The 19,424-nt window shown below is 45.4% G+C and overlaps 2 annotated features.

Annotated features, from left to right (window-relative positions):
• Positions 933-1,052: a transcriptional cis regulatory region, noted in NCBI's record as "candidate enhancer chr6.1563 targeted for multiplex CRISPR interference". NCBI's record gives its function as "positively regulates IER3 gene expression with high confidence in K562 cells {active_cell/tissue: K562}" and the evidence as "EXISTENCE:mutant phenotype evidence [ECO:0000015][PMID:30612741]".
• Positions 10,330-10,499: an enhancer, noted in NCBI's record as "experimental_91437 CRE fragment used in MPRA reporter constructs". NCBI's record gives its function as "activates a minimal promoter by MPRAs in K562 erythroleukemia cells, with activity observed for both the introgressed and non-introgressed 6:30771037 variant alleles {active_cell/tissue: K562}" and the evidence as "EXISTENCE:reporter gene assay evidence [ECO:0000049][PMID:34662402]".

Below are 19,424 nucleotides of genomic sequence, written 5' to 3' on the forward strand. Positions count from 1 at the left end.
GAACAAGAGTAAAATAATAAATCAAGTAGGAATGGAGGGGAGGATATGCATGCAGCACTAGATAATATCTATACAGAGAGAGGATGAGGTCTTGGAAGATGAGTCTGAAGACTTTCCTGTTGGAGAGGGGCTCTATGCTCGGCATGCTGACTGCTTTTACAACCCCACCCCCACATCTCATCTTAACCACAAGACAGTCTTGTTCTGGGGAGTTCAGAGCCTTTATTTTTTATTTATTTATTTATTTTTTGAGATGGAGTCTCACTCTGTCACCCTGGCTGAAGTGCAATGGCATGATCTCAGCTCACTACAACCTTTGCCTCCCAGGTTCAAGCGATTCTCCTGCCTCAGCCTCCTGAGTAACTGGGATTACAGGCACGTGCCACCAAGCCCAGCTAATTTTTGTATTTTTAGTAGAGATGGGGTTTCACCATGTTGGCCAGGCTGGTCTCGAACTCCTGACCTCGTGAGCTGTCCACCTCGGCCTCCCAAAGTGCTGGGATTACAGGCGTGAGCCACTGCGCCCGGCCCCAGAGTCTTTATTTATTATTTAGAGAGGGTCTCACTCTGTCACCCAGGCTGTAGTGTAGTGGTGCGATCTTGGCTCACTGCAGCCTTAACCTCCCAGGCTCAAGCAATCCTCTCACTTCAGCCTCCTGAGTAATTGGGGCCACAGGCTCACACCACCATGCCTGGCTAATTTTTTAAAAAAATTTTTATAGAGACAAGGTCTTGCCATGTTGCCCAGGCTGGTCTTGAACTCTTGGGCTCAAGTGATCCTCCTGCCTCAGCCTCCCAAAGTGCTGGGATTACAGACATCAGCCACCGTGCCCAGCCCAGAATCTTTCAACCCCCAAAATCCATTGGTGTGGGGTTAGATGAGGGATCCTAAAAGGAGAGGGAGGCTGCTGTGCAGTGATCCCACCGGCCTGCTTGCAGGAAGGAGAGCCGACCCTTTCTTGACCTCTACCAAAGACACTAGAGAGCTTTGTAAATCTTCCAATTAGATGATACATAAATACTTCCCCAGGTCTTCTAGGCCTGATTCAATAATATTTACTTCGAGAGGCTGCTGCTTCCTGTTTGTATTCTCTTACCACAAGTTATCTGCTGTTCCTACTTTCACTTAAGCTTTGTATCGTACTCTGTGAGAAATGTTTGAGCTGGCTGGACACATTTCCTGAAATCATTTCTCTAGTCTTTTACGAAATGTCTGCATTTATGCTGGAATCATAGAGCTGAACTATCATTGAGATAAAAATTCCAGTCTTTACCCCAATTTACAATTCCTAAAAACTGTCACTTTCTTAGATCTCTTCACATTTTCATTACTTCTTTTTTTTTTTGTTTTTTGTTTTTTGTTTTTTGAGACTGAGTTTTGCTCTTGTTGCCCAGGCTGGAGTGTAATGGTGCGATCTCGGCTCACTGCAACCTCCGCCTCCCAGATTCAAGTGATTCTTCCTGCCTCAGTCTCCTGAGTAGCTGGGATTACAGGCGCCCGCCACCATGCCCGGCTAATTTTTGTATTTTTAGTAGAGACAGGGTTTCACCATATTTGGCAGGCTGGTCTCAAACTCCTGACCTTGGCCTCCCAAAGTACTGGGATTACAGGCGTAAGCCACCACACCTGGCCAGACATTTTCATTGCTTCTATTACCTGTGTAAGCAAGTGGCTTTATTGGGAGGCGATTTTCACAAAGAAACAAGGTTTTTTAAAAAAGGTGTTTCCCGTAGGTTTCTGCCTGTGAGACCACCTGCTGAGAAATGCAGAGCCGCTTTGGGAAGCTGGGTAGTCAGCTCTCATCCATACTCACTCAACCATGCCCAGCTGGGCAGTGCCACTTGTGTCTGAGCCTCAGCAAAACTGCATGTCCCTAAATGTCAGGGGTCTTCACAGACAAGTGAAGCAACCAGAAATACTGAATTTTCAGATGGACATGTTTATCGTACTGAATCTCCATAGCCAGGAGGCACAGACAACTAATAAAGCCCTGTGCCCCATTATTGCTTCATTGATTCACTGAAATAATGCTGGGTATGATTGTGGCTACAGAGTTAAGCCCCATTGTTAATTATATGGTTTGGTGAGGGAAAGAGTTTTTTTTGTTTTTGTTTTGGCTAGACTAATGTAAACACAGTTCAAATGTTGCTCCTTCACTGGGGACAGAAAAATCCATATGTGGCTCACGCCTGTAATCCTAGCACTTTGGAAGGCCAAGGCAGGCAGATTGCTTGAGTCCAGGAGTTTGAGACTGGCCTGGGCAAGATGACAAAACCCTGTCTCTACTAAAAATAAAAAACAAAAAATTAATTTAATTTAAAAAACTGAGGTGAGAGGATCACCTGAGCTTGGGGATGTCAAGGCTGCCATGAGCCATGTTTGTGCCACTGCACTCCACCATGGATGACAGAGTAAGACCCCATCTTAAAAAAAAAATCCACGTAATATAGTTCACATCTTTGCTTCCCATGTAAATTCCTCTTTTTTGTGTGTCACTATCAGTATGTAATTATTGAAACTTCAAGGTATGACTCTTGTTAGGAAATGATAGAGAAAAAACAATTGCTCTATAATCACCCCTTACATTGTGACTTCTTGCAAATAAATACACCCCACTTTCAGCCTCACTCATTTATTATAAAATTGTAAGAGGTGGAACAAGCCTTTGTTTAGAGATGTGATTCATGTGTTGCTTGCTGGAGTTTCTGAAAACAAACAAACAAACAAAAAAACCCAAGATAGCAGATGGCCAGATGAGCCACTGGGAATGGAGCAATGGCTGGTCATGGCTTCTGTCAAACACAAAGCTCTGACTGGAGAAGCTTGGAATCTTCTGGATGTCTTTTGCAAAGATGACAAATTCTTTTAGATAGGCTGCTGCTTGAAGGTAAGATGGAAGAAGCTTTGTTCATTGTATTATGGAGGTCTTTGACCCCCACCTCCTCCCACCCCATGAACTCAGACCTTCCACATTAGACCTGGGCTGTCCCTCAGCATCTTTGCTGCACATTGCATGAAACTTTTCAGTTATTTCATATAACTTCCAGGTGTTTGAAATACGAAATGCGTAAGAGACATGTTCCTGAGATGTCGGAGTGAGGTTTCCTTTGAGAGAAGGAAGTGAGGGTTGTTGCCTACAGATTGTTGAGGGTAATAATGGGATGAGGCATAAAAAGGACCTAGCCTAGCAGCAGGCATGTAGTAAGAGCTCAGTAAGTATTACATTTGTTTAATTAGTGTCTGCCTACCAGGTTCAACCCTTGGCTTCATATGTCCAGCAACACTTCCTAACTTGCCCATTCTTGCCCTTCCTTGGGTCCTGCTGTTTATTCTGTTCTCTGAAATAAGGAGTTCCTCCCAGTATTGTAGCTGATAAGGTTAGAGCTCAAAGCAGTTAGGGACCTCAAGAGGTATCCTAGTCTGGTTCCTGGTCTAGATAAAATATTATCCCTTATTGCAGAAGTAGCAACTGAATCTAGGAAAGGTTGAGTGATTTGAGAGACTATAGTAGGCATAGGTGGGGATATTGGCTAATTCTTAGTTCTTCTGACTTAGGAGCATCTAGGTCGTGGACACAGAGTGTCCCTTTTTTCAAAGTGGAGTCCCACAGTGCATCATTTACAGTTATTCTAGCTGCTGGTGGTATTTGGAGGAGTATCCTAAACACTTCTCTTTCCAAATCACAGGCCCAGTTGGGATCAGGAACATCAACTCATATCACATGAGCAGAACTTGTTCATTTGGGGACATCCCCAATAATGCCAAAATCTATGCTCCAGATGAGTAAGAGTATGAATTGGAACCACTTTCAGGGAACCTCTTGTCTGCACCTCATTCTGTTTTTATTTATTTATTTATTTATTTATTTATTTATTATTTTTGAGATAGAGTCTCACTCTGTTGCCCAGGCTGGAGTGCAATGGTGCTATCTCAGCTCACTGCAACTTCTGCCTTCCTGGTTCTAGTGATTTTCCTGCCTCAGCCTCCCAAGTAGCTGGGACTACAGGCACGTGCCACCACGCCTGGCTAGTTTTTGTATTTTTAGTAGAGACGGAGTTTTACCATGTTGACCAGGCTGGTCTTGAACTCCTGACCTCAAGTGATCTACCCACCTTGGCCTCCCAAAGTGCTGGGATTATAGGCGTGAAATACCACGCCCCGCCTGCACATCATTCTGGGTGGCTGAATCCTCCACTCTCCTGGTTCTCTCCTCTGTGCTGGTAGGAGGGGAGGCTGGGAGAGAATGGGAGAGGTGGTCATGATCAGTAAAGAGACAATTGGAGGGAGATGGTCCAACCCTGTGGTTCTGGACTCTGAAGTGGTCTTTACTGAAAACAGCAGATTCCTAGGCTCAGAACAGTGGCAAAATAGCTTGGAATTTAGGGGTCTCTGATTTTTTTCAGATTCTCCCAAGCTGGAGTGCAGTGGTGTGATCTCAGCTCACTGCAACCTCTGCCTCCCGGGCTCAAGTGATCCTCCCACCTCAGCCTCCTGAGTAGCTGGGACTACAGGTGCATGCCACCACACCTAGCTAATTTTTGTAGTTTTGGTAGAGATCTTCCTGTCTTGCCCAAGCTGGTCTTGACCTCCTGGGATCAAGCAATCTGCCTGCCTCAGCCTCCCAAAATGCTGGGATTGCAGGTGTGAGCCACCGTACCCTGCCTCATATATTTTGTTTCGTAATAAGTTTACTTTAAATCAAGATCGAAGGCCAGGCACGGTGGCTCACACCTATAATCCCAAAAGTGTGATTTCAGAATACAAAATTTGGGATTATAATTTGTAATCCCAAAAGTGGGATTTGGGCATGGGCCACCACACCCGGCTGATTTTTTTTTTTTTTTTTTTTTTGATAGAGACAGGTTTTATACCACATTGCCCAGGCTGGTTTCGAACTCCTTGATTGAAGCGATCTACCTGCCTTGGTCTGACAAAGTGCTGAGATTACAGATGTGCCTTGCCTGACCTGATTATTGTTTTTTATATCTCCTTTAATGTACAGGTTAGCTCTCTCATTTTTTCCCCCTCTTGAAATAGGTTTGTTGGAGAAAATGGATTTTTTTTGTACTGTACAGCTTTCCAGTCTGGGTTTTGCTGATTCTACCCTGGAGGTGCTATGTAAGACACTCCTCTGATCGCTGACTTCTTGTGAATTGCTAATTTCATCTAGAGGTCTGATCAGATTGAAGTTCAGTGTTTGTTTTTGCAGGGCCCCTTCTCAGGGAATGTTGTGAACATTCACCCAGAGGTACATGCTGTCTGCTTGTGTCCGTCTCTTTTGGTGATGTTCTAAGTCATTCGTGATCATCGACTAATCCATTATTTCATTAGGAGTTGCAAAATAGTAATATTGGAATTCTATTATTTCTTTCTTCATTTATGTATTTATTCTTTTTTCTCCCCCACACCCACTCTCCTGCCCTGCTCGCTCCTTTCTTCAGTTATTAGGTAGACTGCTTGTGTAAGAGAAATTGCTTCATCAACCATGGGGTTCAGTTATGGTTTCTATAGGAAAGGCAGAATAAAGGATTTCTCTTTATTACCAGTTTTCAAGTTGTTGAGTTGGTTACGTAGAGTCCTTCACAAGTGACCAATTATTTAAGATACCATTATGAAATCATGGATTGAAACATATTTGATGTACTTCAGTTCACTATAGTCCATTATAGTGATTAGTCTTATGAATGCTCAAATTGTCCCGTCTTTGGCAAGTGGGAGTCTTTTCACCTCTTTCTGACACAGTCCAAAGAGACTTTGATAGCTTTTTGAGTTTCTGATTTGACCAGATATCGAAGCACATCTTGTACATTTCCGTTCCCAGTCTGAGAGCCAAGCATTTCTTTAAGAAGATCTGATTTCAGTTGAAGGGAAATGATAGACTGCCAGAGATGCTTGTTGCTGCTGGATTGGTTCTTGTTTCTAGGGCCTTTTAGTGGGAAGAAAATATAAACATATTTTAAAAATAAACTCATTGTCTGTTTATACTAATACTTTCTTTATTTTTTTAAAAATTTTTTTACCAGCTCTAGGATCAAGGAAAAAGATACTTTCCATTCAAATAGAGGCTCTCAGTGTTTTTATATAACTTCACATACTTGCATCTGTTTTTTTCTCCCAACCAAATATTCTAGTTTCCAAATCCACCAACGTTTGCTTTATCCCTCAATACTTATACACAGTCTTAAAATAACAACATCAATATTATCGCCATTAATATGATAATGCTTTTCCATGAAAGGGCCATACATGCAAAGTGGCCCCCAAAGGTCAAAGGAGCTGAGAAACCAAAGAACAAGGTAGGCAAGTCCAGTTTGTTGCTAAAGCGTGTTTCACTGGGGAACTTACAGACGGAAGCCTGCTCTTGGGCAGCTGCAAGACAGGTGGATCTCACACTGTTATCTCAGACCCAAGGCTTATTTATATACCATAGGGAAAGAGTATATGTGCTTAGTGCAAGACAAAGGCAACTGTCCAGAACAGGCTAGAATGCTATGTGCGTCACAGCCTATAATTTGTGTGATAACATCAAAGTTGATATATTCTTACACTAGGGACAGTAAATAAAGTAGGAATCAGGAGGCGTTCCTGGGACTGGGGCTAATCAGATGACGACATGGTGGATTAGCATCCAAGATGGGGCCACTTTTGTCTCCACAATAAAACTATTCTTTCAGTTCCTTTTTTTTTGTCCTTAGGGTATATCTCACTAGGAATATACAATCAAATTGCAGTGGTCTAAAGTTGTTTGAGACAGTTTTTCTCTCTGTAATTGTATCACTAACTCACTGTGCGGATAGTCTTTTATTTTTGCTTTTGATTTTTAGAAATTTAAATATATACATGTATATATTCTTAGATATAGAGTAGCATCCAGATTTCCCCACTTCTCTTTTTTTTAAATGAACATTGGGATAAAATTGACATACAGTTTGACCTTTCTTTACTTAACAATAGGTGCTGTCAATCAGCCCATGGCAGTATGTAGAGATATTTATTCTTTTTTTAATGCTCCATAGTACTTCATATTTAATTTAGTCAGTCCCTTGTTGTTAGACATTTGGGTTATTTCCAGTATTTATTTATTTATTTATTTTTAAAATTTGAAATAGAGATGGAGTTTCACCATGTTGCTCAGGCTGGCCTTGAACTCCTGGGCTTAAGCAAACAGCCCGCCTTGGCCTCTCAAAAAGTGCTAGGATTACAGCCACCATGCTCGGCCTATTTCTAGTCTTTTGTTATGACAAACAGAGCTGCAATAAATAGCCTACACAAATACTTTTTCATATTTTTGCCAGTGATGTTTTGGAATAGTTTCCTAGAAACTGTATTGCTGGAAATGCATATGTAATTTTGCTAGATACAGCCAGTCAAATTCCCTTCCATAGAGATTGCCTCATTTTGCATTCCTAGTCACAATGTACTAGAATGCCTATTTCCCTATAGCTTTGCCAACTACATGTATTGACAAATTTTTGGATTTTTTGCCGATCTGATAGGTATAATATGCTACCTTAGGATAGTTGTTTTGTTTCGTTTGTTTTGTTTTTTGTTTTTGTTTTTGTTTTGTTTTTTGTTTTTTTGCGATTCTCCTGCCTCAGCCTCCTGAGTAGCTGGGACTACAAGTGAGCGCCACCATGCTTGACTAATTTTTGCATTTTTAGTAGAGACGGGGTTTCACCATATTGGCCAGGCTGGTCTTGAACTCCCGACCTCATGATCCACCTCCCTTGGCCTCCCAAAGTGCTGGGATTACAGGCATGAGCCACCATGCCCAGCCAAAATTTATCACTCTTTCTCTTCAATTGCAGCTGAAGATTTAGCCATAGTTATGCAAGTCTTTTCCACTCCCAAGCTGTAGAAGAATTTATTTCCCTTTAATATTGTGTGGTTTTTGTTTTTTAAAGTCTCATATGGAATTTATCTTTTTGTATGTATGCTATGATAAGTGGACCAACTTTTATCTTTTTTCATATAGAGTCTCAAATTTGATATTACTAGCTCCTCTCTCCCACTCCCTCCCTTCAGCTTGATTTTTCCTGGACATTTTATTATTTTCTTGGCCAAAGCTGGACATGGATCAAAATAAACGTCTGTTCAACTCCCTGTGTTTGGTTCCATTTTGCTGCCTGTTTTTCTTTCCTGGATTCTTTGTGATTTCAGCACAGTGTTTTTCCAGCCATTCAAGGAGTTATGACCTTTAGGGCTTGAGGAAGAGTGCATTAAAGGCCTGTCCAGAGAATGATTCAAGCTGGAGTGGATCCTGTAGACGTCCAGGAGGGCCCAGCTCTACTTGGGCCAGGGGGTTGGAGAGCTGCTTCTCAGGAGCAGGATAGCCACTCACGCGTGTGAAGCACTCAGGAGCCCAGTTTTTTGTGTTTTTGTTTTTTCCTTGAGACGGAGTCTTACTGTGTCGCCTGGGCTGGAGTGCAGTGGTGTGATCTCGGCTCACTGCAACCTCTGTCTCTTGGGTTCAAGTGATTCTCCTGCCTCAGCCTCCTGAGTAGCTGGGATTACAGGCGCCCGCCACCACACCCAGCTAATTTTTATTTTTAGTAGAGACGGGGTTTCACCATGTTGGCCAGGCTGGTCTCGAACTCTTGACCTCAGGTGATCTGTCCAGCAGCCTCCCAACGTGTTGGGATTACAGGCGTGAACCACGGCGCCTGTCCTGGAGCCCAGTTTTTGTTGATAACCCATGTTTCCTGTTTCCACCCCTCCCCTGCTCTTGATTTCCATTAGGAATTTCTACCTTTCTAACTGGAAAAGACTGGGGTCAGGGGGTGGAGAAGTGGGCAGAGGAAGGGAGGAGTGGAATACAGAAATTGAAACCTGTCTTACTCTGCTCATGTAACTCTTAGCGCAGATCCATATCATTAATGCCAACTACCATTTAGTGGTTATTTCCTACCACCACGCATCAGATACTGCGCTAAGTACTTTATACAGAATAAATCATTTCATCTTGACCTGTTAGTTGGCTAGGGTGGTTACTTCCAGAAGGAAAAAGAGGCCCAGAGATAAGTTCACACAATTGGTAAGTAGTGGGATTTGGGTCTGTGTGACATCAGATTCCAGGCTCAAAACGTCTAAGTTTGTGGCCTCCGCAAAAAAGGCTCATAACAGTCTGTATTTCTGTTTGCTTTTCCATCTAAAGACTAACTTTACTCCACTTCACTGCCCAGATCTGCTGAGCTCAGATGTGAGCAGTGTGCTTGGCTGTGACTGCAGGCATCATGCTAGGCTGTAGGGACCCGTGGCTGGAGAGGGGCTCCGTCTTGCCCTCCGTCTGTTCTGTTGCCAGCACAGTGCTTGGCACACGTGGGCTCTCATCACGTATCTGTTGGATAATTAGATGAAAAAGGAGGAGGAAGAGGAACGTGTGCTGGAGATAAAGCGGCAGGAGTGGAGGAGGCGCAGGGGAAGAGAACAGATTTGGGAAAAACCAGTGGGACATGAGGATGCTGGGCAGGTGGGTAGAAGGTTGCCATGTGTTCAGAAGCACAGAAAAAGGGTGACTTCCAGGTCAAAAGTGATTTCAGGATGGGTGTGATGGCTCATGCCTGTAATCCCAGCACTTTGGGAAGCTGCCGGACGGATCACCTGAGGCCAGGAGTTACAGACTTGCCTGGCCAATATGGTAAAACCCTGTCTCTACTGAAAATACAAAAATTAGCAGGTGTGGTGGCAGGCACCTGTAATCCCAGCTACTCGGGAGGGCTGAGGCAGAAGAATCGCTTGAACCCAGCAGGTGAAGGTTGCAGTGAGCCAAGATTGCGCCACTGCACTCCAGCCTAGGCGGCAGAGTAAGACTGTCTCAAAAAAAAAAAAAAAAAAAAAAAAAAAATATATATATATATATATATAAACACACACACACATATATATACACACACATATATATACACATGTATACACACACATATATATATACACACACACATATATAAAGTGATTTCAGTTTTTTCACAACTTGATCACTGAGCAAGTGACTTAGACTGTGGTCATTTTCTGTTAACTCTTATCTGATCCAACTAGAAAGCAAAGCAAAACAAAAACCTGACTGCCTTCTACAGACAAGCCAATGTGAAGGTATTCAGCTCACACAGGTTGCAAAAGACAGAGAAACACCCAAGTTACCTCAGGGGATGGACATTCCCTAAGGATACACAGGTGAGTAAGGAAAATAGGAAATGGCTTCTGTAGGTCTCAAGAACTAGAGCACCATTCAGGATGCGATGGCCACACACAGTGTGGCCTGGCAGAGAGGAGGAAACTGCTCTCCATCATCAAGAATACAGCTCTAGGCCGGGTGTGGTTGCTCACGCCTGTAATTCCAGTACTTTGGGAGGCTGAGGAGGGTGGATCACCTGAGGTCAGGAGTTCGGGACTAGCCTGGTCAAAATGGTGAAACCTCGTCTCTACTAAAAATAAAAATAAAAAATTATCCGGGCGTAGTGGCGCATGCCTATAGACCCAGCTACTGAGGAGGCTGAGGCAGGAGAATTGCTTGAACCCAGGAGGCGGAGGTTGCAGTGAGCTGAGGTTGTGCCATTGCACTTCAGCCTGGGTGACAAGAGCAAAACTCTGCCTCAAAAATAAAGATAAAAATAAAAGCCGGGCGCTGTGGCTAACACCTGTAATCCTAGCACTTTGGGAGGCCGGGGTGGACAGATCACGAGGTCAAGAGATCGAGACTATCCTGGCCAACATGGTGAAACCCTGTCTCTACTAAAAATACAAAAATTAGCTGGGCATGGCAGCGCGTGCCTGTAGTCCCAGCTACTCAGGAGGCTGATGCAGGAGAATCGCTTGAACCCGGGAGGCGGAGGTTGCAGTAAGCCGAGATCATGCCACTGCACTCTAGCCTGGCAACAGAGCAAGACTCCATCTCAAAACAAAATAATAATAATAATAAATTAAAAAAGAAAATACAGAAATTTGGCTGGGTGCAGTGGCTCATGCCTGTAATCCCTGCACTTTGGGAGGCCGAGGTGGGCGGATCACTTGAGGTCAGGAGTTCGAGACCAGCCTGGTCAACATGGTGAAACCCTGTCTGTATTAAAAATATAAAAAAAATTAGCCAGGCCTGGTGGCAGGTGCCTGTAATCCCAGCTACTCAGGAGGCTGAGGCAGGAGAATTGCTTGAACCTGGAAGGTGGAGGTTGCAGTGAGCTGAGATCACGCCACTGCACTCCAGCCTGGGCAACAGAGCAAGATTCTATCTCAAAATAAATAAATAAATAAATAAATAAAAGAATACAGCTCTTCTAGTTCCCAGCCCCTCTGGGGTTCTTGTGTGAAAGAAAACATTTTAATGTGTCCTTTGATTACATGAAATTCAGGCAGAGTCTGATCAAAGAGATGCCCCATTGCTGAGCACAGTGAAGAGAAAGGATGTCTTCCTTGAGCAGAGAGGTGGTGAGAAATTTCCAGAATAGGGCACCTTGCATGGAGATTATTTTAGGAATGTCATCTCTGGTATGGAATTCTACTTGTCCCCTGTAGAATTCTGGGCTGGCCTACCCATGGTTCAAGCTTCCACTGAAGCTGTGTTGACCCCTAGTCCAGTGTCAGCTGGTAAAGGAAGGGAAGGGCTGAAGGAGCTGGACCCCCACAGGGAGGTGTTGAAAGAAAGGAGAAGCAAGAGGTGATATTGACCAGGGAAATGGCGCCACTTCCTGAGCCAGGGCCCTGGACTTCCTGTAGTTGTAGAAAAGTGCAGGCCTGAGTTATTTAACTATCAAAGAAAAAGTGATGCTCTGTGTGTGGGAAAAACAACACTCAATGTGCTTTTTCCTACTCTCTCACTCACAACAATCATTAACACAGAAGGCTTCTGTGACCAAATGTGAGGAGTTTTGTCTCTACACATCAAGCAAGCAATTAAATCTGCAGCAGACACCAGTTGGGTGTCTTCTAATCCAATTCTGACACTGTCTACCTAGAGGTAGCATCAGATCCCACAGGTTGAGGGCTCAGTCCCCAAGACTGCCCCCCGACCCACACTGGTCACAGGTTTGGCCTTGGGAACTTCTGACCCACCAGCTTCAAGTTGGGATTCCCACAACCCCCTCTTTGGGTTCAGTTAAATGAACACTTGCATTTACTGGTTTATTACAAAGGCTAGAGATGAAGAGATGCACAGGGAGAAGGGGCACAGAGCTTCCGAGTCCTCCCTGTGTGCAACACCTTCCAGGAACCTCCATGTGTTCAGCTCTCCAGAAGCTCTCTGAACCCCGTCCTCTTGGGCATTTATGGAGACTTCACTGGACAGGCATGACTGAAGCATGGACAACCATGTCAAAATGTGATTGAACAAAAAGGATATGATCTAATACTAACAGACAGACTGGGGAAACCCAGTGAGTCCTGTCCAGATTCTTCTTGGCCTCTCTGTGCAGCCTTTCTTCCTCCAGGATATGGGGCATCCTTTCTGAAATGGGAGTCTTATGACCTATAGTCAGACAAGGTAGGTCAAAGACAGAAAGATGGGCAAAGATTCCTGCCTTGGAGAGATAAAGGAGCAGATGAAATGAGGGCAGGAGAAGGTCAGAGAGATTCCGTTTATTGAGACCTGCTTCTGAGGCTTAAAGCACCCAACATTACAACAACAGATGGTAACAAGGGCAATGGGAATTATAAGCCAGGAACCATGGACTAAAACCTATATATAAATTATAATAGCACAGAATCCCAAAGGCTGGAAAACTTGTGGGCTTCCCTTTCACCATATAGAGCCACTGTTCTCTCCACAGTGCCTGCATATTCCTGTCTCTTTCTGTTGAATGACTTTTTTTTTGACACAGTCTCACTCTGTTGCCCAGGCTGGAGTGCAGTGGTGTGATCTTGGTTCACTGCAACCTCCACCTCTTGGGTTCAAGAGATTCTCCTGCCTCAATCTCCCAAGTAGCTGGGATTATAAGCTCCTGCCACCACGCCCGTCTAATTTTTTGTATTTTTGTAGAGACAGGGTTTCACCATGTTGGCCAGCCTGGTTTTGAACTCCTGACCTCAAGCGATTCACTCACCTTGGCCTCCCAAAGTGTTGGGATTACAGGCGTGAGCCACTGTGCCGAGCCTGTAGAATGACTTTAAATCTCCACCCTCTACCTATAGCAGCCCACTTCCTCCTCTCTCTTCAAATCTCCTTTTTCTCACTTTCTTCTCCATCTTCCTTGCCCTTTTAGAAGCAGAAAAGGGCATACCTTTTCTGTGATACCTTTTCTCTCCATCATGAAAGTCTCGGCCACGGTCCTCTAACAAAAGACAGGTTAATGAGAGAAAAACATTTATTGAATCCAAGTTTTATGTGTCACGGTGGCCTTTAGAATGAAGACCCACAGGGGCCGGATGTGGCGGCTCATGCCTGTAATCCCAGCAGTTTGGGAGGCCGAGGTGGGCAGATCACTTGAGGTCAGGAGTTCAAGACCAGCCTGTCCAATATGGTAAGATCCTGTCTCTACTAAAAAAAAAAAAAATTTAGCTGGGTGTGGTGGCATGCACCTGTAGTCCCAGCTACTCATGAGGCTGAGGCAGGAGAATTGCTTGAACACAGGAGGCAGAGGTTGCAGTGAGCTGAGATCACACTGCCACACTGCAGCCTGGGCGACAGAGCAAGACTCCGTCTCAAAAAAAAAAAAAAAAAAAAAGGAAAAAGAAAAGAATTAAGACCCACAGGGAAAATTCTCATTTTTTATGCTTAGAGTTGATGAAGAATGGATGGTCATGTGGAAGCATTATGGGACAGAAAGGGTATGATCTCCTGGAGGAATCCAGCAATGCCTGTCTGTCCGGATTCTTCTCGGCCTCTATGTTGTAGCATTTCTGCCAGCCAGGTATGGGACTGGACCCCTCTGGAATGAGGATCTTATTGTGTCCAGAAATGGTGGGTTCTTGGTTTCACTGACTTCAAGAACGAAGCCACAGACCCTCGCGGTGAGTGTTATAGCCCTTAAGGTGGCGCTTCTGGAGTCTGTCCTTTCTGATGTTCAGATGTGTTCGGAGTTTCTTCCTTCTGGTAGGTTCATGGTCTTGCTGGCTCAGGAGTGAAGCTGCAGATCTTCGCAGTAAGTGTTACAACTTATAAAAGCAGCATGGACCCAAAAAAGTGAACAGCAGCAAGACTTATTGCAAAGAGCAAAAGAACAAACCTTCCACAGTCTGGAAAGGGACCCAAGCGGGTTGCCAATGCTGGTTCGGGCAGCCTGCTTTTATTCTCTTATCTGGCCCCACCCACATCCTGCTGATTGGTAGAGCCGAGTGGCCTGTTTTGTCAGGGTGCTGATTGGTGCGTTTACAATCCTTGCGCTAGATACAAAGGTTCTCCACGTCCCCATCAGATTAGTTAGATACAGAGTTTGGACACACAGGTTCTCCAAGGCTCCACCAGAGCAACTAGATACAGAGTGTGGACTGGTGCACTCACAAGCCTTGAGCTAAACACAGGGTGCTGATTGGTGTATTTACAATCCCTGAGCTAGACATAAAGACTCTCCACATCCTCACCAGACTCAGGAGCCCAGCTGGCTTCACCTAGTGGACCCCACACTGGGGCTGCAGGTGGAGCTGCCTGCCAGTCCTGTGCCGTGTGCTTGCACTCCTCAGCCCTTGGGTGGTCGATGGGACTGGGCGTCGTGGAGCAGGGGGTGGTGCTCGTCGGGGAGGCTCGGGCCGCACAGGAGCCCTTTGAGTGGGTGGGAGGCTCAGGCATGGCGGGCTGCAGGTCCCGAGCCCTGCCCCGCGGGAAGGCAGCTAAGGCTCGGTGAGAAATCGAGCGCACCGCCGGTGGGCTGGCACTGCTGGGCGACCCAGTACACCCTCTGCAGCCACTGGCCCGGGTGCTAAGTCCCTCATTGCCCGGGGCCGGCAGGGCTGGCCGGCTGCTCTGAGTGCGGGGCCCTCCAAGCCCACGCCCACCCGGAACTCCCGCTGGCGCCCAAGCGCCGCTCGCAGCCCCGGTTCCCGCTCGCACCTCTCCCTCCACACCTCCCTGCAAGCTGAGGGAGTGGGCTCCAGCCTTGGCCAGCCCAGAAAGGGGTTCCCACAGTGCAGTGGTGGGCTGAAGGGCTCGTCAAATGCCGCCAAAGTGGGAGCCCAGGTAGAGGAGGTGGCAAGAGCAAGCGAGGGCTCTGAGGACTGCCAGCACGCTGTCACCTCTCATTATGGCCCACCATTAGACAAGCGTAGGTCAGACTATTTATTTATGGTCATGTCTTAGGAAGCAGTAGAAGAAATAATTCTAGTTTTTATGGCTGGCTTTGGGGAACAGGGGTTCTGGTTTCTATGACCTTAGGGAGGACTAATTCTGGCTTCTGTGGCTCACTTCAGGAGAGAATGAGGGGCGAGAGACAGGAGGGGCAGAAGGTCAGAGGGATCTTGGTTTCGAGGCTGCTTCTGAGTCTTCCCAATGTCCTTTAGTTCAAAGTATTCAGCATGCCAAAGTGCCACACTTTGGGGTATTGTTTTCTGAGCCCCAGTGTTTTCTTCCTCTCTTCTTCATTCTTTCTCAATCTCTTCTTCTTTTTTTAATTGAGATGGAGTCTCACTCTATCACCCAGGCTGGAGTGCAGTGGCGTAATCTCCGCTCACTGCAACCTCCGCCGCCGTCCGGGTTCAAGTGATTCTCGTGCCTCAGCCTCCCAAGTAGCTGGGACTACAGGCACATGCCACCATGCCTGGCTTTTTTTTTCTATTTTTAGTAGAGATGGGGTTTTGCCATGTTGGCCAGGCTGGTCTCGAATTCCTGACCCCAGGTGATCCGCCTGCCTTGGCCTCACGCCTGCTGGGATTATAGGCGTGAGCCACTGCATCCGGCCCCCAATCTCTTCTCAATCGCATTCATCAATATTTTTTTTTCTTCTTTTTTCATCCCATCACCTTGGGTCTCTCCTTGTCCGTCTCCCAGTCTTTCTTACTGTCAGCTAGCCCCTTGCTTTTCCCCTTCCTTTCTTTGCAACAGCTTCCTATCTCATTTGTTCAGCATAATAGAAGTGCAAACCGATGGCCTACTGCCTGAGTATCTGCTCTGCAGAAACATATAATTTGCTAAGAGAACGTTTATCCAAAATATTGTCTTCAGGAACTGGGAGCAGTGGCTCATGCGTGTAACTCCAGCACTTTGGGAGGCCGAGTTGGGAGGATTGCTTGAGCCCAGGAGTTTGGGACCAGCCTGGGCAACACAGTAGGACCCCGTCTTTATAAAAAATACAAAAATTAGCCAGGCATGATGCTACACACCTGTAGTCTGTAGTCAGCTTCTGGGGAGGCTGAGCTGGGAGGACTGCTTGAGCCCAGGAGGTCAAGGCTGTAGAAAACTTTGATTGTGCTACTGCACTCCAGCTTGGGTGACAGAGCAAGACCCTGGCTCCAAAAAAAAAGAAGAAAAAAAGTCTTCAATCTCAACAATTAAGAATTGGAGATTTCACATAAAAATCCAGATTTTATCCTGGGCAACATGGGCAACACAGTGAGACCCTGTCTTTACAAAAAATAATAAAAATCAGCTGGGTGTGGTGGTTCACACCTACAATTTAATTTGAGAGGCTGAGGAGGGAGGATTGTTTCAGCCCAGGAGTTCCAGGCTGCAGTGTTTTATGATAGTGCCATTGCACTCCAGACTGGGGTGAGACCCGGTCTCTAAACAGAAATCCCAGTTTTACAGCTTAAAAAAAAATCAGGCTATCTGGCATCATGCGACCTACACCGATTGCTAGTAACAGTTGATGGAGCTGGGCGGTGGCTGCCCCACTCTGTTCACCAGTGCCCACTCCATGCCTCCTGGCCTCCTTAACACTGAGGGAAAGTGCCAATTGGCATTTATTATTTAGCTTGAGTAGTTATTTTTTCCTCTAGCAGACAAATTTTAGTTTCTACCTATATCTTTACTGAAAAAAGGGAAAACAGAGAACAAGAGCCAGGTCTTTCTTATCCCAAGCCTGCTACCTCATTTGCATTTTCTGCTTTGCCCCTGCAGGTGGCTGAATTTTCAACCTTCGCTATAGACAAAGGCTCAGGTCTCCCTTCCCAATTTCTCACCGTGCCTCACTTCTCTTTTACTCTCTCCATATATCCTCGTTTCTCTTTTTGTTCATATAAGGTTAATATTTAGGCCGGGCACAGTGGCTCACGCCTGTAATCCCAGCACTTTGGGAGGCCAAAGCGGGTGGATCACTTGAGGTCAGGAGTTCGAGACCAGCCTGGCCAACATGGTGAAACACCATCTCTACTAAAAATACAAAAATATTAGCCAGGCATGGTGGTGCATGCCTGTAATCCTAGCTACTTGGGAGGCTGAGGCAGCAGAATCACTTGAACCCGGGAGACAGGAGTTGCAGTGAGCCGAGATGGCATCACTGCACTCCAGCCTGGGTGACGGAGTGAGACTCCATCTCAAAAAAAAAAAAAAGTTAATATTTAATGCATTGATGTAAAGCTAACTTCAGGACCACTTTTGAAACTTTTTTTCAGACTGTTTTGAAATCTTCAATCTTCAGAAAAAGTCTGTGAAAAATCATTTTATTTTCGCACTAGTGTGTGTGTTTGTGTGTGTGTGCACGCACATAGATGAGAGTAGTTACTCTGTGAAGGATCTGTTACTTATCTTGCTATTTTTCTTGTTTGACTAACAGCCTATTTATATGGATAAGATCTGAGAATCGGTTACTAGGCCGTATGAAAGAGGAGTCTTCTTTAGGATCATTATCAGTACAGGCCTGGCATTCACCTAACCAGTAATAGAAACCTGAAAAACAGTGGCATAAAAAATTGAGAGTTTAATTTTTCTGCATTTAGAATAAATCTAGAGGTGAGAGCAGGGATCCTAATAGCATAGCAATATTGGCAAGAACCTAGTGTAATTAACCATGTTTTCTAGTTTCTATATTCTGATACTTCCACATCGTGGGGTCTTGCTGACCCTGGAGTGACTGCCTCTCCCAGGTTGAGCTAATTCCTAGAAGCAAAGAACTCGCCTGTCATATGTAGATCAACCAAGCTAGACCCCATCCTCCCAACCACCACCTTCATCAGGCTCTGCCACTCCTAGCTGCAATTCCCCTAGTCAGCCCAGGACCAGTACTAGAGAGCTAGGGACAGCCCCTATGCCCCAGAGGCTGCTGAAATTATTCAAACTAGCCGAGCCTGAACTTGCTTACCTGCCTGCACACTCCTGCCTGTGAAACCACAATAAAGGCTCTTGCCCACATTTTCCTTTCACTCCCACTGCCTCCTGACTGACTCAGGTGCTTCCCCATGGGGCACCCCTGCACGCCATGCCATGCCTCATGCATGTTTCTAGGGAACTGTGAGTAAATGTCTTCCTCCATGAAAGTGATTCCTGTGTCTGCACGTCTTGCCACACCTGATTAAAACAAACCCTGGCTACCTTTACAACCCCCAGGTCCATCCAGCCTTCTGAGCCACCACCCTGACTTGATCGAGCATCAGGAATCTCATTTCTGGGCGGGGTGCAGTGGCTCACGCCTATAATCCCTACACTTTGGGAAGCCAAGGCTGGCAGATCACTTGAGGTCAGGAGTTTGAGACTAGCCCGGCCAACATAGTGAAATCCTGTCTCTACTAAAAAAAAAAAAAAAAAAAAAAATAGCTGGGTGTAGTGGCATATTCCTGTAACTCCAGCTACTTGGGAGGCTGAGGCACGAAAATCACTTGAACCTGGAGGTGGAGGCTGCAGTGAGCCGAGAATGTGCCCCTGCACTCCAGCCTGGGTGACAGAGTGAGACTCTGTCTCAAAACAAACAAACAAACAAACAAAAATAAAAAGAATCTCATTTCTGGGTGGTGTGGTGGCTCACACCTATAATCCCAGCCCCTTGTGAGGTTAGGATAGGAAGATCACTTGAGGCCAGGAGCTTGAGACCAGCCTGGGGAATGTAGCAAGACTCCGTCTCTACAAAAATAAAAAATAAAAAAAAAATTAGCCAGATGTAGTGGTATACACCTGTAGTCCCAGCTACTCAGGAGGCTGTGGCAGGAGGATCACTTGAGCCCAGGTGTTTGAGGTTACAGTGAGCTATGATCGCACCACTGCACTCTAGTGTGGGCAACAGAAGGAGATGGAGTGAGAGTGTCCCTAAAGATAATAAGAATCTCATTTCTTAATTTATTTTCCTTAACACTTACCATATTCTGAAATACTATATATTTGTTTGCTTATAATTTGTTTCCTCTCACTAGACTGTAAGCTCCTTGAAGCCAGAGATTTTTATCTGTTTTCTTTATGGTAAGTTCCTAGAACTGAAAACAGGGCCTGGCATGTATTTACTGAAAAAGTGATTAAGTGCTCTCCAGTTGATGGCTGGAGTTCAGACCATCATGGTTTTGTTTCAGGCTGGAGGAAGTGGGAGAGTAAAAGGCAAAGGGGGCCCATGCCAGTTGAGTCAGTCCTAGAAAAGAACTTTTCTGA

The sequence above is a fragment of the Homo sapiens genome, chromosome 6, assembly GCF_000001405.40.
Source record: "Homo sapiens chromosome 6, GRCh38.p14 Primary Assembly".
Classification (NCBI taxonomy): domain Eukaryota; kingdom Metazoa; phylum Chordata; class Mammalia; order Primates; family Hominidae; genus Homo; species Homo sapiens.